This window comes from Homo sapiens, chromosome 8 (assembly GCF_000001405.40).
Source record: "Homo sapiens chromosome 8, GRCh38.p14 Primary Assembly".
Taxonomy (NCBI): Eukaryota; Metazoa; Chordata; class Mammalia; order Primates; family Hominidae; genus Homo; species Homo sapiens.
Genome location: NC_000008.11, coordinates 58143376 through 58166624, shown reverse-complemented (window position 1 = coordinate 58166624; position 23249 = coordinate 58143376). Strand labels below are relative to the sequence as shown.

Below are 23249 nucleotides of genomic sequence, written 5' to 3'. Positions count from 1 at the left end.
TGCTCCTCTCTCCATGGAACTTACTAATGCCAAAAATAAGACAATCAACACAAGCAAATCATTAAGAGTGTGCCATATCTGCCCAAAGTGCGATGGGAGCATGTGTCTGGGATGTCAAGAAAGCCTGTTTAATCACCATAAAGGGTGTCTAATCTGAGGTTCGGAGAAGGAACAGGCATTTGACAGTGAGGGGGCTGGGAATGGAAAGCACATTCCAGGCAAACGGACCAGCATAGGCAGAAGTTGGGAATGGAGCCTTCGATGGGGGACGCTGGGTGGCCCTTTTCTTACTCAGTGTGCCTGCCTGATCACAGAGGGCTTCCCTGTAGCAGTCCTCCTGCCACCCACCTCCACTGCTCTTATGCAGAACTGAAGGCCATTGTGGCAGAATTTCTTTTTTTTTTTTTTTTTTTTTTTTTTTTTTTTTTGAGACGGAGTCTCGCTCTGTCGCCCAGGCTGGAGTGCAGTGGCGCAATCTCGGCTCACTGCATGCTCCGCCTCCCGGGTTCACGCCATTCTCCTGCCTCAGCCTCCCAAGTAGCTGGGACTACAGGCGCCCGCCACTACGCCCGGCTAATTTTTTTTTTTTTTTTGTATTTTTAGTAGAGACGGGGTTTCACCGTTTTAGCCGGGATGGTCTCGATCTCCTGACCTCGTGATCCGCCCGCCTCGGCCTCCCAAAGTGCTGGGATTACAGGCGTGAGCCACCGCGCCCGGCCGGCAGAATTTCTATCACTGGGGAGAAAACACTGTTGGTTAGCTTGGCCCTTCTGAAGGGAAACACTTCTTGATCCCCGGCCTCTCATCCCAGATAGGCCCCATCAGAGAAGTCTCCTTGTGTCTTGGAAGGAGAAAAAAGAAAAGTTTCCCTAGAGACATCTTTCTTAGACCTCAGCATCTCATGGATTTTACTCTGGGAACTCAGGCTCTGAGGTAACACACTAAATTGAGGATGCACAGCCGAGTCCTTCCTGGGTTTCCTTGCCGCACGGAAGGGCCAGTTTCTCCCACTATTTCTCTCTCAAGGTTGCTGCGAAGGTTAAGTGAGTACCTTTGCCTAACTCATAAGATCTGGGCACTAAAGGTGGGTTCCCATTATTATTTTATCTGTTTTTTTCTCAGTTAGAGACAGGGCATATTTTTGTGATTGTTATTATTATAGCAACATACCAGCTATTGAGATAATATAGCATGGCCCAATATAGAATGTTACTAGTATACATAACACAGAATCACATAATATATTTTATTTTAACGTAGTATTTATTAAAATGGCTTTTTGATGTAGTTTTACATCACGTAGGAAGAAAAGGAATATGTTTTGAACACTGCTTTTCTTTCAAAAAAGAATTTTAAGGCAGGCATGGTGCCTGTAATCCCAGAAATTTGGGAGGCCGAGGCAGGTGGACCATCTGAGCTCAGGAGTTGAAGACCAGCCTGACCAACCTGGTAAAACCCCGTCTCTACTAAAAATACAAAAAATTAATCTGGCATGGTGGCGGGTGCCTGCAATCCCCGCTACTCCGGAGGCTGAGGCAGGAGAATTGCTTGAACCCGGGAGGCAGAGGTTGCATGCAGTGAGCCGACAGCACACCTCTGCACTCCAGCCTGGGTGATGAAGTGAGACTCTGTCTCAAATTAAAAGAAAAGAATTTTAAGAGCCACAACTCAAACTTAGGCTCAGATAATGATTTCTAAAGGCCAGCAAATACAAAAATTAAGGAATAAGCTTATTTCTCATTGCTGCTAATTGTTGTTGGGTTTTCATAAAAGTAGATACCTGAAAATTGTTCCTCATAGTCCCATCAACACTTGAGACTGTGTAGGTCAGGGGCAAGGTGAACCACAAATTGATTAAATATGTACTACTGATGTTCTTTTAGACAATAAATCAATGTGGCAGTCCGAGGGGCACACCCAAATACAAATAATACTTTATATATTCCCACACTGAGATGACCAGGGTTTCTAAAGTGATTGCAGTTGTACAGCATTGCTATAAAGACATATGCTTTTCAATAAACTTGCTGAAACTCATATATCTAAATGAGGCTTCCCCTCAGAGTAGTTACTATGGGAGATGATATACTCATTCTCACAGAGGTGTTATTTCTTAAAATATTCTGGCTCTGTTTTCAGAATGGTTCCCAAGATACATTTTTGAAAAAACTGCTTGAGAATGATCAATGTATCATTTATTCTATAATTATATCTTATTCTAAAATAAAAATAAAATTCGATCACTCATTTTTTGTTGCATCCAATTTCTAAACCAGGTTTCAAAAATGGATCCAATTTCTAAATATGAGGATGCTCCATTGAGAGGGATATGTATCCCACTTCAGGTCTGTGGGCTTACCAGTCTCAAGTTCACACACCAAGGACACTCCATGGTCCCAGGACAAGGGCTAGGGAAAGTCACCATGCAGCTGAGCTTTGATGCCTTAGGTTCAAATTCATTCATTTATTCACTCACTATATGTGTTTATTATTATGCTTATTATGAGGCAGGGAGAGTGCTAGGTCTTGAAATTAGCATAGTGATGAAGACATAGCCCTGCCTGTGATTTTATAGTGCAATGAGAGGATAGACAAAAATTAGCAACATCTTTACCTACATGTATAGTGAAAATTATAGAGAAATTATATATTTTCTTTTATCTTACCAGTTTTTTATGCTACTATGGGTTACTTGCATAATAAAAATATTATAAATACATTTATATTTTAAAGTGTTCATAGTTTATAGAGGGCAGTTCCTCCCTGGCTGACGTAGTCCCCTGACTTGGGGTGTCTCATTGGAGTCTTTAGCCTGAGGCCAGGACCATTAGCCCAGATCTTTCCCACCAGTTCTGCTGATCGTTTCCCTGGCCCTGCTGTGGTGCTCTCCAGAAGTCTTCGTTTGAACAAAGTTTCCAAGGAGCACATGAATCTAAGAAACTGGCTCAAGTCCTATGTAAATGATTCACTGTCTTTAAACCAGCAAATTCTCTAAAAGACATCATACATAGTGCTTTAGGTCAAACGTTTTTTGTTGGAAACAACAGAAAATCCAATTCAAACTGACTAAAGAGGAGGATCCTTCTTCCTTCCTTCTTACCTTCCTTCCATCCTTCCTTCCTTTCCTCCCTTCCCTCCTTTCTTTCTTCTTTTCTTTCTTCCTTTCTTTCTCTTCTCTTTTTCCTTCCTTCCTTCCTCCCCTCTTTCCTTCCTTCCTTTTCTTTCTTTCTTTTTCTTTTCTTTCTTCCTTTCTTTCTCTTCTCTTTTTCCTTCCTTCCTTCCTCCCCTCTTTCCTTCCTTCCTTTTCTTTCTTTCTTTTTCTTTTCTTTCTTCCTTCCTTCCTTTCTTTCTGTCTTTCTCTTCTCTTTTTCCTTCCTTCCTTCCTCCCTTCTTTCCTTCCTTCCTTTCTTCTTCTTTTTCTTTCCTTTCTCTTTCTTTCTTTCAGAACTGCAAGCCAGATGGAATGACTGAACAGTCCCAGCTCGGCCTTACTGCACCTGATGGCCCCAATAGCTCCAGGACTATCTTGCCTCGCTTGTTCAGCCCAGAGCCGCTCCCCTACTTCTCCTCAGGGGACATAGATGGGGCAGGTGGCCTGGGAGATGGCACACTCTCTAACTGGCCCTCTCTGAGTCCCTGTCACACCCTCAGCCAGTGGTGAGGGGAACTGGTAACAGGGAGCCTCAGCACCTCAAGGAAATTAGGGGTGTTGTATACAGAAGAGGGTGGTGGGTCCTGCACAGGCGAAACCAACATGCCTCATTTCTGAGGACACAGAGGAATATGTGAAATTAGTGCAGTTGACAATAGGTAGCTTATAGTTTCCTCATACGAAGTGGAACAAAAACAGTTCATGAGAAGAGGACGTTAGCATGCAGGCCTCCTGTCTGTGCCTCCCTTTTACGGGCTTTGTGGGCAGAGCTGTGGTGGGAAGCCTGGTGTTCTCTGCAGGCGGACACTTCCCTTCTGTGGAGTCTCCACTCAGTGTGGTCACGCTCAGAGCAATCAGGCCTAACCAGCGACTCTGCTTGATAAAATATTTAGGTATTCGTTTTGTTAGAGGTTAACATACTTCTGAGTACTTGTCAATCAAAATGCAAAACCAAAAACAAAAATCTAGCCTAGGATCATTAGTTACTTGAACTCGTTAGATTTTTTTTTAAGTTCTGGAATTGTTCTTAGTTTGCCCCTTCCCCCTATTTCTGCCTATAAATTTCCTGGTTGGACGTCCCGGCTCACTCCTTTAGCCATCTTACCATAAGAACACAGACTTTGGCCTTTGTTCTGTGGAAAGCACCCGGGATTGTCACCTTGTTAGCTATGCATCTCAGGGAATATACTCTCCTCTACCAAATTGAAAAACTGTTGTCATTTACAAGAAATGCCACCTCATGCGGAGGTCACTGTCGGTAGAGTTTTAACAAGCTGTGCTGTACATGGTGTGCTCTTTGGAGAGACAGGCCCATTGTTTCTGCTGACCTGTGACTGGTGTGCAGGGAGCAGTCAAGTGAGAGTGTTTGCAGCTGCCATAGGCTTCTGTGTGGACTGGATCCAACCTTGTGTTTTATCTATAGGGATATCTATTTTATCTGCAAGGTCTCAGGATGGAAATGAAATCAGGGTGCTTAAAATACCAGCTTTGGTGAAGTAAGAAGCAGCAAACAAGACCCACATGGCAAGTTCATGTCTGCTCTACTCATTCTTTCGAATCCCTAAATTCTAGAGTAAAATTTCTCTTATAGAAGTATGAAAACACACGCGCGCACATGCACACACAGGCACACACACATGCACATCTGGTTAGAAACATTTGCACAGAAAACTTTCAAACTCTTTTGGTTTTAACATTTAAAATCTTCTAAAGTGTTCACTTTCCAATAGCATCTACAGCATCATTTAATCCTGTTTGACACAGAATGATCTCGCAGCTCCTCAGCCTTTCTGGGCCTGAGGTGGGCGTTATACATGTAAATGACTTCAGACATGCCCTGCAAATAGTATTGCTTTCACTTAGTCTCCACACTTGGCCTGTTTTCCAGTAAACTTACTGCTATCAACTGAACATTTGCATCCTCCCAAAGTTCATGTACTGAATACCCGCAATGTGATTTTGTATTTGAAGATGGAGACTTGGGAGGTAATTAGGGTTAGGTGACGTCATGAGGCAGGTCAGTAATGATGAGATTAGTGTCCTTATAAGAAGAGGAAAAGAGTCTGTGCACAGTGGCTCACGCCTGTAATCCCAGCACTTTGGGAGTCCAAGGCGGGCAGATCACGAGGTCATGAGTTTGAGACCAGCCTGGCCAACATGACGAAACCCCGTCTCTACTAAAAATACAAAAATTAGCCGGGATGTGGTGGTGCATACCTGTAGTCCCAGATACTCGGGACGCTGAGGCAGGAGAATTGCTTGAACCCAGGAGGTGGAGGTTGCAGTGAGCCGAGACCGTGCCATTGCACTTCAGCCTGGGCGATAGAATGAGACTCCGTCCCAAAAGAGAAAAGAAAAAAAAAAAGAAGAGGAAAAGATTCAAGAGAACATGTGACGGCACAGCAAGAAGGTGGCCATCTGCAAGCTAGGAAGAAGGCCCTCACCTGGACTCGACCATGCCGGCACCTTGATCTTGGACTTCTAGCCTCCAAAGCTGTGAGAAAGGTGTCTGTTGTGTAAGCCACCAACCTGTGATATTCTGTTATGGCAGCCCAAGCTAAGACACAACCGAGTACTGAATTACTGTGAATAGATATACTTATCTAGTGGGTACAGTGTGTAGATAGTTTCTAGCCCGTGGAAAGTTGTAATAAATAATGAGTTTTGCAAAAAGCTTTATTTCAATAAGTCAAGCTCAACACAGTATACAACCATTTAGGGAAACTTCTCTTCTCTTGGGTTCCCTGTCCCTCTCACCCCCTCCCTTCATTAAGCTCCCTAATGTTCCCAATCCTGTAAGCATGTTGCACAATGAAAACTGTAGTTGCTCTAAAGGGTGTTGGACAGCAGACTTCCACAGTGAAAGGGATAGGAATGTGCAATGCAGAGCACGGATGGTCTATCGAGGTCTTTAATTAACTGCACACGTCTGTACATCTCTATACCCCATTTGAAACAAAGTGATTTTTACAACTGTAGTTAATGTTTGTAGATTAAAAAATAGAAAGTCTTAAAGTAAATTCATGCTAAAGTGAATGCTGGGCAGTATGTATGCAAAATGGGTTTTCCCAGATGAAGTCACAGTGTGAATATTTAGATGGGTGGGTTTTCTCACTGCTTTCTCAGTGGGAAAGTTAAATAGAATAATGTAAAATGCAAACAATTTTTGACAACAATTAAAAAATAATTTTTTTAATGTGGAGGACATGCCAGCATGCTGTATGTGATTTATTACCAAGTGTTCTCTACTATGAATAATTGTCATAAGCATCTGAAGGAAGGAGGTTGCTTCATGTGAGGCAACAGGAAGGCTTGGAGAGGAGGTAGTTTGATTTGGTTTTCCTAGGATTTGAACTGAAACTAAGGGAGAGGAAGGAGCAAGGAGCTCGAGGCAGTGGGAGTTGAATCCTCTCCCCTCTACTCACTTGGTTGACTTCTCTTTGTGCTCCACAAAACCCAGGACACACCAGGCCCTCAAAAATAAAAAGTTTTATTTACAAAAATAAATAAAAGAAGTTTTCCTGTGGTAAATAATTTTCTTTTTCTTTTCTTTCTTTCTTTTTTTTTTTTTTTCTTGAGACAGAGTCTTGTTCTGTTACCCAGGCTGGAGTGCAATGGTGCAATCTCAGCTCACTGTAATCTGTGCCTTCCAGGTTCCAGCGATTCTCCTCCTGCAGCCTCCCGAGTAGCTGGGATCACAGGTGTGTGCCACCACGCTTGGCTAATTTTTTGTATTTTTTAGTAGAGATGGGGTTTCACCCTGTTGGCCAGGCTGGTCTTAAACTCCTGACCTCAAGTGATCTGGCTGCCTCAGCCTCCCAAAGTGCTGGGATTACAGGCGTGAGCCACCGTGCCCAGCCTGCAAATAGTTTTCTAAAAAGCTCAGGCCTCCTTTATGGTGACCGTTCATTCTGCTGAGCATCTGAAATGACCCTTATAAAAGCAAAGAGTATAGTGAGGAGTGGGGGATATACAAGGCCTCACAGTGTGCCACTGTATACGCACATGAAATCCTCACAAAATAATTGACCCACACCACTCAGGAGAAGGCAATAGCATCTCCATTTCACAGTTGACAAAACCGAGGCTCAGGGAATTTCAGTGAGTTGCTGAAGGTTCATCACAGGAAAAGGCAATGGGAGTCAAATTCTCAAATCCCCAAGCCAGTTCTCACCCTCTCGCTGGCTGCCTTCTGGGAGGTGGAGGGCAGGGAGCGGTGGGGAAGGGGTCCCCAGTGCTCCCCTGGAGCAGACAGCAGATGTGAATTCTTGTTACTGGGCTGCAGAGATTAGAGTTTTAAGTTCTCAGACATTCCTCAGCCTCTGTGGTTGGCTCCAGTCTAGGTTCCTGATTTATTTGGCTCTGGGAGACTCCACCCCGGGAGTGTTTGCTGGTCTCCACTGTTTTATTTGGTTCTGTTGTCTTTGTTCTCCAGGTGGCGTTGGTGGCTGATGCGTTCTCCAAGTCCCCATGAAAACTGAACTCTGAACTTAGGTAGGGGGACCAGCTTTTCAGAGAGACCACCCAGGACACAGCCGCAGCAGCAGGACAACAACTTTATATATATAGTGTACACATGCTTGTCATATTCATATATATAGATAGTATATCCATACTACATATGTATATATTTGTTTATATGATAGACATGTTAATCACCTTAAGATATGAAAACTATGTGCTTATTTGAAGTCATATACGATTCCATATTATTTACTTTTGTTACATAAATGTTACTAATTAAACAAAAATAAGACTACTGAATGGTAGCAATTGGTAGTAATTAATAGTTGGATTAGCTAAACAAATAATGTATCTCAGGAAAGCATAATATGTGTATAACGTTTCTGTCATCTGACACAGCAGCTTATTTGACTTTTCTCTTTCCTGGATATTTTTGTGTTGTAAGCTCAGGTAGGATGTATTTGGGACACAGTCAGTGAAGAGGGTGGGCCCCAGAGTCTGCCTCTGCTGCTATCCCCTCCCTAGCCCCTCAGCTTACTTCTGGGATCTTCAGAGAATTGAGTTCTTGAGTTCCTGCAAAAGTGCCTCCTGACTCAAATACCTAGGAAACACTTTTCACTAAAATTGTTTCTCGGAGATTAAAGGCTCCGATGAAAATCCCGCAGAACATGCTTACATCCATTTAACCTGAAGTTTCCTCTAAATTTGATTATAGCACATTCTTTTTTTTCCCCCCATTGACACTTATTGCTAAATAGCCAACAGGTCCTACCTGACCAGCCCATCCCTTACCAGTCCTGCTGGCCTCCCTGCAGTTTATTTGATCTGTCTCTAGCCCAGATTGCTTCTCCAAGGTATCTGCAGAGCACCTCCCTCACTTCCTTTAGTCTTTCTCAAATGATTCCTTGAGCAGGCCACTCGCTCTCTCTCCTCCCTGTTTTATTTTTCTTTCCCTAAGTGCATGCCATCATCTAACATTTTATAAGTCTGACCTATTTAGCTATTGGATCTACTCTCTGTCAAGAAGCCGGGCTCCTTATGGCTGTGAGCATCTATTCTGTGGGGGCTCATTGCTGTATCCCTTGGGCCTAGAGATGCTTGGTTCATCACAGCAACTCAGGGAAGAGAGGTGAGATGGAGAAGGTAAAGAGGGAGAACCACAGCACACATGTGTGGGGAGCCTATGAAGGGACAGGACATAACTGATGGGAAGCCACCCCACTAAGCCTATCTGGTCTCTCCCCACAGATTAAGAACCCCAAAGTGCTCCTAGTTCTCTCTACTCCACATCCATTCAGCAAACATTAAGCACCTACACCCAATACTTGCCACACAGTTAACTAGGGCCTGGCGATACAGAGGTGAGAAGAGTGCCCATCTTCAGGGAAGTGATTGCTAGTGGGCACCTGCAGGTGGGCAGAAAGATGGATGTTGAGCAGAACCAGCCTTGACAGCAGCTGTGTCACCTTCTCACCTGCAAGACACTTGCTATTCTTTTCTTTTCTTTCTTTTCTCTTTTCTTTCCTTTTCTTTTTTCTTTCCCTCTAAACCTGAATGTGTGAAAAAGCAATCCAATCAAAAGGAAAATAGTGTTAAGAACAAATACATGCTCAAGGAAAGAAGATCCTTTACACTTCCCTTTGAGCTGGAAATCAGCCCTACAATCTGCTTGTCTGCATAGCATTTCATATCTCCCTGAACAGACCCCAAAATCACCAGGATTTAAGTTTTGGAAATAACTGAGTATAATTTGACCCTCAGCACATTTGTCTGGAATACATTCCTTAAGAAATCCAACATGTGCGTATATACACGGCAGAATGCACAAAACTCCATCTCAACCATTAAACTGCTGTTAAAAGGTATCAGGTGGGGAATTAAACTTGAAAACATTTGGGAACCCAAAACGCTATCCAGATCTCCATTCATAGATTTTTTTTTTTAATCAAAAGAATTCTCAGCAGATGGTAGTAAGTCCATAAACTCAGAGCAAGGGGTCTTCAGGGAAGTGAGTTCATTTTAGATCAGATGCTTCAACACCGAGATGCTCTGAGAAATCTGAAACATGGATAGAACACACCAAGCCTTTGTCCAAACCAAGTGGAGTGATTTTCCGGCAGCCACAGGCCTTAGCCACACATTCCTAAACCATGTGCAGCTGTCAGCTCACTGGGGGGACACAGGGAAAGCTGTTAGTGAAAAACCACATGCCCATGAAGTTAATAAATGAATGTCTCAATGTTTTCCACCAAAATAAAATGCTCAGTAGCTCAAGTCCTTAAAATGGCCTAGAACTCAATAGAGGAAAGTGATGTGACTGAAACATTCACAGAACCTGTCTGGGAGCTGGGTTTGTGAGGCACATAAATACCTCACCTGGCTGCTGTTCTCCATCTATTATAAAAAGGAGGAAAGGACTGGAAAAGATTATGTATGCCTAGAAATCCTCGAAAGCTTCAAACTTATTTACACTTAAGAAGGCAAAACATGCTAAGCCAAGCATTCTAGGAGGTGGTGTAATGAGAATTCTCTCTCCCATTTTCCCTTTTTCCCAGTTGAACTTCCATATGTTATCAATTACGAGCCACCACAGTTTCATTCAGTTGAGGGAGCAATTGCATTCACGCATGGCTTGTTTCCCTCTGCCCCAGTGAGCAGAATTTCCAGAGAACAGGATGGTGAACCCGTGGTGGAGAGGTCAGTGTGCACACATTGAAAGGCTAAAATGGGAAGTGTTTCTGAGGCCAATTTGCCTGGAAAACTGTCTGCCAGGAGGGCTTCAATGGTTAATACCCAGCAGCACTACCCCAAGGATATATTTTCGCATAAAGGGTAAGTTTTTGTATTTTGGCTGAGAAAAGGAGTATGCTACTCATTGTCTTTTGGGACAAATATGAGGGTATCAAGATTCAGCTCATATCAATAGTCTTAGATTATTATTTCCCACGCCCCACACCCCCAGCAGAGCTTCCCTGGCTCTGGGCTATGGTGCAAAGTGAGCAGGACTTCCCCTTCCTTTGAAGGCAACTGCGCAAGGAGTGAAAAATACTTGCTTGTAAAATCTCTTTGTAAAAAGAATTTCATATTCTGGACTCCCATTACCTCAAACATGCTGTCTGGTTTATTTTCCAAGAACAGGTAGGAAGAAAACCCTTCAATGTCAAGCCCAGTTGCCTCTTGTAGAACGGTGGTATCAGCAACAGAGACAGGGGAGGCAGAAGGGCATGAGCTGGTGGGGGCTCCACAGCCACGAGGTGGGATTTAGTTGAGGAGTCATGTTTGGATTCTTCCATTCATTCCAAAGGTACCTACTCTTCACACCCCTGTGCCAGACACTGAACTGGGTAAAGGAGGTAAAAGGTGACCAAGAGAGTCACTTAATGAATATGGTAACTTCAGATTACAAAGAACCAGGAAGGAAATACGAAGGGATGGAGATTAACACAGCATCTACTTTACATAGGGTGGCAGGAAGGGCCCTCTGAGATGTCAGCTGAAGCAAAATCTAAGACGACAAGTCAGTAACAGGAAGATCAAATATCAAGGGAAAAATAGTCTACTAAGGCCAAATGGCAAGATCTTGGCCCCTGGGGACTGGGGTGAGAAGAGCTGGTACGTTCCACAAGCATAGAGAGAGAAGGAGCCCAGAGCAGGGTGAGAGTGGAGAGAATGGGGGCTGAGGGCAAGGGGCCTGGTCGGGAGGGACTACTGAAGGGCCTTACAGGCTGAAGTTTGGCATTTTAAAAGAATTGTGTCATAACTGCAATGGAAACCACAGAATGACACCATGTGATTTCTGCTTTTTAAAGATCACTTTTGGTAGCTTTCTGGGAATACACTGAGGGAAGCAAGAGCAGGGTGGACACCCACTCAGAGGCTATGGTGGTGGTCCTCATGACAGATCACAGTGGCCAGAATGCATTGGGATATTGGAAATCAACAGAGGTTGCAACCTGATTTCAATCTGCCGAGTTTGTCACAGTGGGCAGGTACAACTGAATGCGTTTTTTAAATTTCTGAAAATAAGCCTCCAAAAAGCTAGAGCTTGTAATTGTGGTTCTAAAATGTATCAAAGTATTTTTAAGTATCTGGCAACTACAATATTCTCACCTGATTTCCAGTTAGCAACACTGAAAATCATCTGTGAAAGCAAAGACTGCACATGAATCATCTGGGGAACACTTGTGAAAAGGTGGATTCCTGGTCTCTGTTTCCTACCACCCCCTCCTGATGGGACAGCATGGCGGTCTCTCCTGTGTGGCAGATTGGGTGCACTTCAACAGAGGCTGTAGCCAGAACAGGATAGACTGTACCACAGTAAAAAAAGAGCCCCACACTATCAGTGGCTTAGAAGGATAAAGTTTATCCCCTGGGTTGACATAGTCCTTCTGGGTTAGGATGGAGGCCTTTGTTCCACACTGTCCTCATTCAGGATCCTAACGGAAGCTCCGCCCTATGGGACTCTGCTGGTTGCCATGTCAGGAGGAAGAGAAGAGAAGACAATCGTGGGCTGGCTCTTTATGCTGCCTCCCAACTGTAACATGTCGCTTCTGTTGGTGGCTCATTGGCCACACCTAATGCTATGAGGTGTAGAAATGCCATTCTCCTAGGATCTTGGAAGGAGAGAGAAGGGGATATCAGAACCAGTGGCAATGTCCACCTCAGCAGACAAGGAGGCAGAGGAACCAGGCCTGGAAAGATGGTTCTTGAGATATTGAGGATAACTGGGCATCTATGGATGGTGAAGTTAATAAAATGATATTAAGACAGTGGTACTCATTTCCAAAATTGACAAAAACTTCCTTAGATAAATTTCTCCATCTTTATTAAGTATTTTATGTTTGCTAGGATTAATTTAAAAAGTTAATGTATATTAACAGAAAAACTCTAAATCAAGGTTTCTTTAAATATCTGATACATAGTTTTTGAGTCAAGGGAAACTGCATAAAAATAACAGAGTTGGCTGGGTGCAGTGGCTCACGCCTGTAATCCCAGCACTTTGGGAGGCCAAGGTGGGCAGATCACAAGGTCAGGAGGTTGAGACCATCCTGGCTAACACGGTGAAACCCTGTCTCTACTAAAAATACAAAAAAATTAGCTGGGCATGGTGGCGGGTGCCTGTAGTCCCAGCTACTCGGGAGGCTGAGGCAGGAGAATGGCGTGAACTGGGGAGGCAGAGCTTGCAGTGAGCTGAGATCGCGCCACTGCACTCCAGCCTGGGTGACAGAGCGAGACGCTGTCACAAAACAAAACGAAACAAAAAAACAGAGTTTATGTTACCCAGGTTGCTCCTACTTGGCACGATGGAATTGTTAGCCTTGTGAGGCTCCACTGTTCCCTGATCCAGCCTCCTTCATGGGGTCTGAGCAGCTGTCTCCCTGTTCCAGCCCCTCTGCCAGTTCCCTTGCCCTACAGCCCTGGCTGTGTCCACCACCTCACTCATCTAGATCTCCGTTTTCTCCTTCGTACAGTAACATGGAGAGGGACAGTTTATTGCTAATGTCCCTCTCAGAAGAACCCAGAAACTTGGGTCCTGATGTGATCACATACGCTCAACAGTTTTGAGTCACTCACTCTATGAAACAATCACAAACCAGTATGTTCAACAGTGTTTTAAGTTCTGAGAAATGTTATGTGATGCAACTTACTGCAAAGAAGCAAAAGTGGTTCCTGCCATCCTAGATATTAAAAGTTCATTTTCATATGCACAGAATGAGTCTTAGGATATGTTTTATGAACCTGGGTTTGTGTTTTGCTTTTTCCATTTACTGGATGTGTGCCTTGGAGAGGAAACTTAATCCTCAGCTTCCTCATCAGTAAGATGGATTTTAATTTACTTCTAAAGTTCTTGTGAGAATAAAGTGAGATAATGTGACACAGTGCTTAGCATAGTGTCCATCTAAGACATGCTAATAGTTGTTTCATTAATGTCACATGAAAAGAACATTCAACTAGTAAAAGACTATCATAATGTTTATCCTCACAACTTTGGATGGTATGTCGGTGTGAACACGGCCACATTCGATTCTGTCAGCCTCTGCCATTCTGAAAGTTTAGTGAGGCTTTTTCTGGAGATTCCTTCCATTTAGAAAAGAGCCCTTCATTTCCTTCTCCAATTAACACTCTCTAAGGTAGACAGAGCATAAAATGCTGTTCCGTTAGGTGTTTGGCCCCCATTAGGGCCTCACTTGCTGTCTTACTTGCCCACGATATGAACCCAGTCTTCTCTGAATTCTCATATTCTTCACACATCATCCTAATGCTTCAAAAACAGTTATCCATGCTGTCCCAGAGCCCTGAGGCCAAGGGCTCACATCCGTTTGATGGCCTCCCCCCATTTTCCAGGTGAGGGAATGGCGGCACACTTTGAGGCAGGTGAGTCCCAGGTATTAGAGGAAGGGGTTCTAAAAGGTAGCCGAGGCCCATCTCCTTCTGGCTTTTCCTTTTCCAGAGTTTCTGCCAAAGCAAGGGGACAGGACCTGAACACACAGGAGAAACCCTCACGAAGGTGACCTGTGCAAAGCCACACACACAGCCACCCAGCCTGGGGTCTTTCTAGCTCAGCTCTTGTTCAGCACTGTAGAAAGTGACATAAGCCGAGTTATTTTACAGGGCTAAGTGGACAAGTCAGGTTTGGTGTTTTCAAAATGCTGATGAGACTAGCCATCTCTTCTGACTGAGTTAGAAATCTACTCGGTTTATCTGGAGCATCCTTACCCTCTTTACTACTTCTGGTCAGAACATGCCAGCTACACCTGTAACGATGGGAGAACGCAGTGATGCTGACTCACCAAATAGTCAAAATGTGTTTCCTGATTGTTGAATTGTGGCCATTTTTCTCCATCCTTCTAAAAGTCCTTGATCAAAACAGACAGGATGCGATTTTAAAATATGGCACACTCAAAACTGAAAGCACACAATTCGAATGTCCTTGTCTCTTTGAACTCAGTGGGCTGTGTGTTACTCACAGTGGAAGAGCTGAAGTCTTTTTCTAACTTTATGGGCTCCCATTTAGGTACAAATGAAATCGCTGAAGTTTTGACTGCTTGAGGACTGTTTTTTCACACAGGCATCGGTTAAAAAAATCAAAATGAATGTAAGGACCCTTCTGTGTTTAAGCATAACACACTTAGTTTGCCTCTTCTTGTCTTCAACTGGGCTGTAGGGAGGGCATGGCTTCCTCAAAACATTTCGTATCAGAGTTGAGTTTCAAGTTCCACTCTGCAAGTTCCTTTCTTTGGGATCTTAGTTAAGGTGCATAATCTCCATGGAACTAAGTTTCTTCACCTCTAAAATGGGGACAATAACTATCACTTTGGGTTTGTTGTGGCAACATTTATAGTTTAGCACAGGACGGGAACGTGGAAAAAAAAAGTCAGTACATACTAATTAAGCACCTATTATACACCCTGGGCTGCTGTGTTTGTTGCTTGCTGCCCAACTCTGGGACCACAGTTTGCATCACAGTCATTAGAGATTTGTATGTTTATTAGGATGTTTTCTCTTTTTTTTGGCAGGGAATAAAATGTTTTGAGGAAGGCACACCTTTTTAAAATTCACACAAAAGGACCATTTAGGCTAGAAAAGGCTGGGTCATGGCCATGACAAAAAATATAATCTAATGGGGAAAGGCAACATAGAAACTCAAAAAAAAAAAAATTGCACTGATTGATGACTGTGTTGAGTATTGAAACAGCAAGTGTCTGTGTGGTCACGGAGGGAGGAGAAAGCATTCCTTCCAGTGAAGAGCTACTGAAACTCAGCAGCAATGGTAGTTTTAAGACATGTCCACAAGTTCCTTGATATTCCTCCCTTTAAAATATGGGCCTCACTCTGCTCCCTGGGAGGGGGAGCTATATTTAGTGACCCATTTTGAGTGAACTGAATGTGATGGACAGCCATCACACACATTGAATGTGTGTGACCCAGGACACTGAACTGTATGAGGAATTGTGGCATCCTCCTTGCTCCCTCTCCTTGGTCACTCCTTCTAGGGGAAACCAGATCCTATGTTATAAGGACTCTCAGGCAGCCCCTGGGAGAGGCCCATGCTGTAGAGAATTGAAGCCTCTTGCTAATACCTTGTGAGCCATCTTGGAAGTGGTCAAGCCCCAGCCGCCATCTTGTCTGCAGCCTCGTGAAATACCCTGAGCCAACACCACTTGGCTAAGCCACTCTAGCATTCCTGATCCACAGGAACTACGATAATAATTGTTTATTGTTTTAAGTTGTTGAGTTTTGGAACAATTTGTTACACAACAGATCACAAATGCAGCGGTGAAAAGTTTCCAGAGGAAATTTCCCTTCGGTTGGAGCCTGGGGGCCTGGGCTTGGTGACCGAGATCTGAGAGTCATATGCCCAACTTTCTCTGTTATAGGAAGTTAGGATTTAGCCTATCAGCAACCAATTCAAGCCAGAGGATGTCTTTACACAGGGGAGTGACATGACCAGAGTTGATGATGGTATTTGTGGCGTGAAATGGAATGAGGAAGAGGCCGGTTGGGGAGTGAGGGAGACTTCCAGTTAGGAACTTCTAGAATCAACAGTTCAGGTAAGAGATGATGAGAATATGAACTAAGGCAATGGCAGAGGGGTTGCATATGGGAGGACTGTCTTAAGATTTGGTGGTTTTCAGAAAGAAACAGGTAGTTTCTAAGGCCATCTAGTGCAATCATGTTTCACTCTGCATTGTGTAGGAAAAAAAATGTGAATTATATGGTAATACCATATTTATACCAATAATATCATCACACACACACACACACGATACTTCCACGAGCTTAGAAGAATGAGCCCATCACAACGAGTACTTCACAAGAAATGCCACACTCTAAGGATTTAATATTAAGCATTTGAAATAGTTCTTTATAGAAATGCTAGTTCAAGAATAAAAAGAAAATAAAGAGCGCCCATCTTCCATTGGAACCAAAAGCCTCACATCTGTCTGTTGTACAAGTAAGACCACAGAGGATTCGACTGAATTATAGTGGGGTGATTTATAGGCCTGTCTGAATACAGATCGCACACAGTATTGAAATACTGGAAGATTCAAACACTGTCTATGACTCAAATAGCACAAGCAGTGATAGTAAATTAGCTAAGTGCTCATCTCTCCAGACAAGAGTTTCCTTAGGAAAATAATATCTATTTTTGGTATTTCAGTAGCTCTAGAAAGAGATGAATACTACTAAAAGAGATGAATATGTCAATGCTAAGTCATGAATGTTTTAAAAAGCCACATTTCTACACAAATGGAAGGAAAATTTTGCTTTTTTTTTTTTTTTTTTTTTAGAAAACTTATTTTTATTCTATTATATTGAACACATTGTATCACCCCCACTCATAGCTGCATTCCAAAACAGTTCTTCTGGGAAGCAGGGTTTTAGTTTTACTGAACATGAATAAAAAATCCAGGCAGAATTCAAAACCAGGGGAAAGAGTCAAGGAAGCAAATTTGCTTTTCAGAAGCAAGATATTTATAAACAGTAATAGCTGAGAATCATATAATTTGTTTCTGAAAATTACCTTTTAAATAGGGCTTCATTTTACATTTGCATAGTATATGGAATTTTGTAAGAAGCATTAAATTTCAAATAACTTGATGCAATAAATAATCATGGAATACTCATTGTCCAAATATAACAGATAGAGCATGTCCACTAAGAGTAATGTTATTTCTCTTAAAATAAAGGGGAAAATCTAAGTTCCTTGAGGCAGAGACTGTGTTGTTGACTATGGCAGTCCCGTGCCTACCATGATACCTGAAATGAGTCACTCAAACAGTGACATTTTGAAGAGGAATGAAGGAAGGAGTGGAGGAGCGAGTGTGTGAACACATGCCATGGTAGGGATGTTGGGCTGGTACAAATAAAAACGAAGCCATACATTTCAAAGGTGTGCCTCCAAGGTGAGAACTCAAAATATTTATAACTGAAGAGTTGTGTGGAAGATGTAAAAAATCCTGATGTTTAAGAAAAGACAAAAATAACACAAGTGTGAACTGAGATGCTGCAGCACATTTTAGGAACCTTGATGTAATCAGTTTAGCAAAAGCACATTGCTAGAGCCACAATTAAGAACACTGGTGTTTAGAGTAATTGGAATATGGTGAAAATAACTTAATGAAATAATGTTTCTTCAAGCCTATCAAAAATCTGCTTCTGTTTCATAGTCCAAAGTTAAACTTTTGTGCAATACAGGACAAAGAGAAACCACCACCATTAGTGCCTGCACCACAGCAATTTATTAGCGTAACTTTTTCTTTTTTTCTTTAAAGATTTCATAACAACTGAAGTATGTACAAAGTCTTACAGCATTTACACCATAAAAAGTTTCCTATTAGCTCATGAAGTCTAAGGTAGTGCTGCTGAGAACTTCAGATGTGGCAAAGGCAATGAGGCAAACCACTTGTAGGTTTCCCTCTCTGCTGCCACATCATGGTGTCAGCTGAGTGACAGCTAACTGTACCACCTGGAAGACAGGTTATTGGGAAAAAAGGGGACAAGTTGATAGGCAGCACTAGAGACCATGGGGTGGAAAAGCTACATAGCATTGTATTTCTACAGTTTCCTAGAGCTGTAACAAAGATCCACAGCCTGAGAGAATAACATATGCAAGACAACAGAATCACGCTGCTCAGATATGGTTCAGCTACCAAGTGTGTTCACTTTTGAATGGAAGGCTCTACTGATATGGCTGGTATTTGACTTCTGTTCATGTCTTCAGATAGCTCAAATCTGCACAAGCCTCACTCCCTTCCCCCAAATCAAATAACAACAAAGGGAGAGAGAAAGAAATAGCATGAAATTAGTAGTTCTCGACCAAAAAAAAAAAAAAAAAAAACAAAAAACCACAACTTTTTTTTTTTTTAAAGGCATTCAGTATTTGTTTTAGGGTGGTCATTCTGTCGAAAGATAATATTAGGAATTTCTGAATTATCCCAATCAGAACAACATCAACAAAACCCCCAAACACCCAACCTCCTAGATTTAACCATCTTTCTTTGTATCTGATCGTCTTTCCTTGGGGTCAGTATTACATAGAACCACCAACGTTTACACACTGAATCGGACACAAAACGTAGCATTGTTACCCCAATGACTGCTTCACTAAGTGGCAAGAGAATTTCAACATGTAAACGATTAACGTCAGGCTCACCACTTTATTCCACAGAAAACCCAGCCTGGTTCTATGTTCGGTCAGTCATTATCTGTTTGGTAGCAGATCCCATTTACTGTCCCACTGGAATAGTCTCACATGTAGGCAAAGTGGCTTTTTATTTCAAAAAGATTCTGCTCTCAACTTAAAAGCCAGTTGATAAAACTTTTAATTAAGACACAATAGCGCGGGATATAAAAACACAAGAACCACATAAATATCGAAGAAGTTGTATACCATTTTCATGTAAACAGTTTTGCTTACGAGCAAAGCCCTAATTAGATTCTGGCCTGAAACTTTTGGCAGATGACGCGTGTTCAGCCAGGCTCTGTAGCGATGGTGACGTGGAAGCCAGGTCAGTCCCCATGTTGACAAGCATGCAACTTGAAAACATTGCACAACAAGCAACACAAAGAGTGGAGAAGCTCACAACACTTCAAGGAGACCTCACAACCTTCACAACTGCGTAAGCACAGAGACCCACGCTCCCTCCTTTCCACGCACTGTCTTACACATGGGAGACCTTCTGTGACTCTCTAGCTTGTTTGATGCTATATAACCACTTGATGATTCTAGCATTTCTTTCGATGGCAGAAATGCCATACGGCACGCGGTCATTGGCACTGTCATCATTTCTAAGGTCACTGTTACTGTCCTGAGACTGTTCACAGTCTGAGCTGATCATGCTTGCGCTGCGGAAGTTGAGGGATATTATGTCAGAATTAGCCCTTGCAAAGTTTTCCATTCCCAGGTTTTCCAGCTCTTCCGGGTCCAGTCCACAGTAGTTGAAGAACCTCTCCACGTCCGCGTCCACTCGGAAATATCTGTCACTCAAGTCTGACTTAGACCGCTGGAGGGAGGGTCTTCGGCTGACTCCACAAGCTGGTTCCACAGGGTCGGCCTCGGGGGACTTCATGGAGGCGATGGCTGCGATTTTGGGCTTGGGAGGCAGGGGAGGGGCAGAGCTACTGCAGGGGATGGCCTTGAGGGGCTTCACGCTGGTCACCTTGCGGATGTCCGAAGAGCTGTGGGACACGTGGAGGAAGGACTCGGCTGACTGCTCCAGCAGTCTCCTGCCCACGTGGGAGCCGCCCTCCTGCGGGCTCCTGCGGCCCTGCGTGGGGTAGACCTTCAGGGACTCCGCGAAGGAGTGACGGTGCAGGTCAGTGGCTTCCGACCGGTGGGGCGGCCAGTTGCGGGAGCTGTGCTTGTGCCCCGAGCCCGAGCTAGAGCCCTCGGAGCTATTGATGATGTTCTTCAGGATCTCCAGCTTCAGGTTCTCCCTCTGCACGCCGCTCTCGGTCTTGGCGTGGTTGCCGAACACTTTGAGCGTGGGGCTGCCCAGTGCGCGCTTGGCAGCCGGGCACACCGGGGGCTTGGCCAGCACGGCGGGCTTCACGGGCTCCTGCTTGGCGTTGATCACCTCCTGGCTCTTGACGTACTTGGCCTTGTCGGCCTCCAGCCTCTCCACGGCGCTGAGCCTCTTGGGGTTGGGCTCGGCCTGCCTGCGGAAGTAGTCTGGCCCCTTGTTCAGGATGCGCAGGGGCACAGCAGAGGTGAAGGTGCCCGCGGGGCTGACCGGCTTCACCATGCTACCTGTCTGTAGGGTCTCCGTGGGCATGGTGGGCGGTCTTTCCCCGGCAGCCGTGTTGGATGCTCTTCTGGGCGCCTCCGCAAGGCCTGAATAGACACATGTACATGAAGCGCCAAGGGCGGCGGGTGCAGCCTGGGAGCGAGTGTCAGCAGCAGCGGCCGCAGCAGCGCCTCATCTCACAGCTCATTAACCGCCACGGTGGCTTTCATACACTTTTCTCCCCTTCCAGGCGGCCCTTGCACAAAAAGGCCACAAGCCACAAGTTCCTTTAATCTGCTTCGCTGCCTCCTTTCTTCTCCCTGAAGGAGGTGGGAGTCTCCTCCAGGTCTTTGTGTTCAACTGCAGGCAGAGCTGAAACACAAAACAACCAACCGCGGGTTAGGAGGGGCGGGTGACATCACGGCTCTAGCAACAGAGAAACCCCGCAGCGCCCCCGCCCCGCCCCTGCGCGGCCGAGGGTCGTGGGCCGCAGCTCAGTAGCTGTTTTCCCGACCGCGCGAGGGGGACGACCCGGGCCTTGCGCCCCCGCCTGCGCCGACGCGCGGCAGCACAACGCTGTGCCGGGAAGAAAGAAAGGGCTGAGGTTTCCCACGCGCGAACTCTTCCAGCTGCCTCCGGATTGGTGAGATCCGCCTTCTGAACACGCCCGGTTGGCATTTCTCAGCTCAAAACCCAGCAAATACTTGATGAACGTAGGAATGAGGGCTTAGCCAAGCCCTGTTCCCCAGCTCATTACATGCCACTGAGTTCCTACGAATCCCTTCCATGCCCCCCGGTTGCAACGTCGTGAATTATCTCTTTTGCAATGAAGCAAAACTTCTCCCTCTGTACTACCAATTTCTCAGGAATACTTGCAACAGTCACTTTTTTAACTTCATAAACTGAAAAGGGCAAGAAATGGGATTGGCAGCAAAGCTACAAAGTTTAAAAAAAAAAAAAAAACCTCAACACGTTTCAGTTATCTTACTTTGGCCAACCAATATATTTAAAAACTTTCTCCTGAAAACCACAAATGTGTATGGAGTTCCACCCATTAAACACAAGCTTATTTTTTTTTAACATTAGAAGATCCATAGAAATACTTCCAAATTTACCATATGAGTAGATAATTTGATTGTCCCTAAGTTATCCATAATTTTTCATACTTAATGAGCAGAAATCAAAAGTTTCTTCATGGTATGTATATTCCCAAATCCTCTACAGTACTAGGAACAAAGTCTTAAAAGTGTCCAATCATACCTAAAAATATGTTACTTTAATACTATAGAAAACTTGGGTAATAGGTAAGCTTTCATGGGACAACTTGACTACCAAGCCAACAACAACAATAAAACCCACTTGTCAATAGTTGAACGTTTATCAATATTCCTACTGTAATTCTGTAAGGAGTCTTTTTATTTCATATGCCATATAATGTAACTCTTACCCTGCAGCCCCTGGAAACAATTCCTCCCATAGCCTGTTACTGCAGGCAGAGAACATTTACAAATGCATCAGCACTCCAAAGCAAGGGGCTAATGACCTTAACAGCATCTTTGGTTATAATTAGGAATGCTAAGAGAGTAACCTATTCAACTAACATGCCAAATAACTAATTTACAAAATAAATAAAGTCATATTACAACCACATCTGCTGGTATTTCTCCTTATAATTTCCTGAAATTCTTAAATCTGTAAATGCAACCCATCACCATGTTTTGTTAGAGATAATTTTAGTAATCTGTGAAGGGATTTGTTCTAATAAAAATATTTTCCTGTGCAAGATTTGAGAAACCCCAAGGCAATACCTACATTAACAATTTCCTTTAATTGTGCGGTTCTATTTTGATACCTCAATTTAGTATAAAAAACAAAAAACACCTCCTCCCATTAAGATGAAATGAGATTGTTTCTTTGAACACATTTTGAATGAAATGCCAGAAGGGAGCCCCGATTCCTCTGGAGGCACAATCTCATCCTCTTTACAGAAGAGACTCAGAGCCAGAACAGGCAGCAGAGCCTGGGCCAGGATGCAACTCCGAGGTCATCATACCCGGGACCCTTGGGAGAGGGCTGACCCCAGGACAATACCAGAAAGTTTGGGGGCACAGTGAGGGGCAGGACCAAGATCTGCAACCTTCAGCTTTGTGCCTGAGGACTAGAGTGGGAATACCACCTAGTGGGCAGTGGGAGACAAAGTTCATCTCCCTTCTCCTGGGGCACGAGTTAGTTGGACAAGATTCCTTCAATCCCTTCGTACTGTAAAATCGTGAGGTTCTGAGGATCTAAGAATGAAGGAATTACTTCCAGTTTCAAAATGGCGTGTTGGAATATTGGTGAATGACTGAATTTTTCTATGGTCCCGCACTGACTGTTCTTAGGCCAACGCTCTCTGAAGATGAGTTGTAGTTCTCATGTAACATTCCTCCTCATGCAGGCCTGTGCTTCTCTTCTAACCATCTTCTCTTCTAGTTCTATCATATTAGGACCAGAAGCCTAAAACACCTACACCACTGGCGTGGCCTTCCATGCACACCTGCGTGTCTGTTAAGGTAGGCTTTGGTACTGTTGGCAACACTGAATAAAAAGCCTGACTGTCGATTCACAAGAGTGAGGAATACCAGTCTATCTTCTAAGAAGCATTTTCCAGAAAGCTGCTTGTCTTCCTTGCACACTGCTTTCTCTATTCATGTGGCAGACACCCTCAAGACGGCTCCTCCAGCACTCACAATTGTTCCACACCCCTCAACAATTACTAATCTTAAAATCTGTGTGAAAGAATTATGTCACACATAGCAATTATCTGCAAGTATTTCATACTTCATTTCCTTTTGGCTTCTACCCCTTCCCACTCCTCCTCTGCTATTCCCAATTTCCCTAATAATTTTCAACACAGTGATGAT

At 43.9% G+C, this 23249-nt stretch overlaps 1 protein-coding gene across 6 annotated transcripts in view, besides 6 other annotated features; it reads right to left on the bottom strand.

Moving 5' to 3' along the window:
• Positions 11810-11909: a silencer, noted in NCBI's record as "silent region_19216". NCBI's record gives its function as "represses an Ori minimal core promoter by ATAC-STARR-seq in GM12878 lymphoblastoid cells {active_cell/tissue: GM12878}" and the evidence as "EXISTENCE:reporter gene assay evidence [ECO:0000049][PMID:35858748]".
• Positions 14726-14835: an enhancer, noted in NCBI's record as "active region_27406". NCBI's record gives its function as "activates an Ori minimal core promoter by ATAC-STARR-seq in GM12878 lymphoblastoid cells {active_cell/tissue: GM12878}" and the evidence as "EXISTENCE:reporter gene assay evidence [ECO:0000049][PMID:35858748]".
• Positions 15205-15274: an enhancer, noted in NCBI's record as "active region_27405". NCBI's record gives its function as "activates an Ori minimal core promoter by ATAC-STARR-seq in GM12878 lymphoblastoid cells {active_cell/tissue: GM12878}" and the evidence as "EXISTENCE:reporter gene assay evidence [ECO:0000049][PMID:35858748]".
• FAM110B (family with sequence similarity 110 member B) overlaps positions 17841-23249 on the bottom strand; it is a 154262-nt gene continuing 148853 nt past the window's right edge. For all 6 annotated transcript variants that reach the window (NM_147189.4, NM_001377989.1, XM_047422400.1 and 3 more), the window contains one exon: positions 17841-20718. In NM_147189.4, the coding sequence (NP_671722.1) occupies positions 19282-20394 (1113 nt within the window). In that variant the 5' untranslated portion in view covers positions 20395-20718 and the 3' untranslated portion in view covers positions 17841-19281. The remainder of the gene's footprint in view (positions 20719-23249) is intronic.
• Positions 20219-20821: an enhancer, noted in NCBI's record as "H3K27ac-H3K4me1 hESC enhancer chr8:59058363-59058965 (GRCh37/hg19 assembly coordinates)". NCBI's record gives its function as "activates a minimal SCP1, AML or CMV promoter by ChIP-STARR-seq in naive H9 embryonic stem cells {active_cell/tissue: H9 hESC(naive)}" and the evidence as "EXISTENCE:reporter gene assay evidence [ECO:0000049][PMID:30033119]".
• Positions 20219-20913: a biological region, named in NCBI's record as "H3K27ac-H3K4me1 hESC enhancer GRCh37_chr8:59058363-59058965".
• Positions 20734-20913: a silencer, noted in NCBI's record as "silent region_19215". NCBI's record gives its function as "represses an Ori minimal core promoter by ATAC-STARR-seq in GM12878 lymphoblastoid cells {active_cell/tissue: GM12878}" and the evidence as "EXISTENCE:reporter gene assay evidence [ECO:0000049][PMID:35858748]".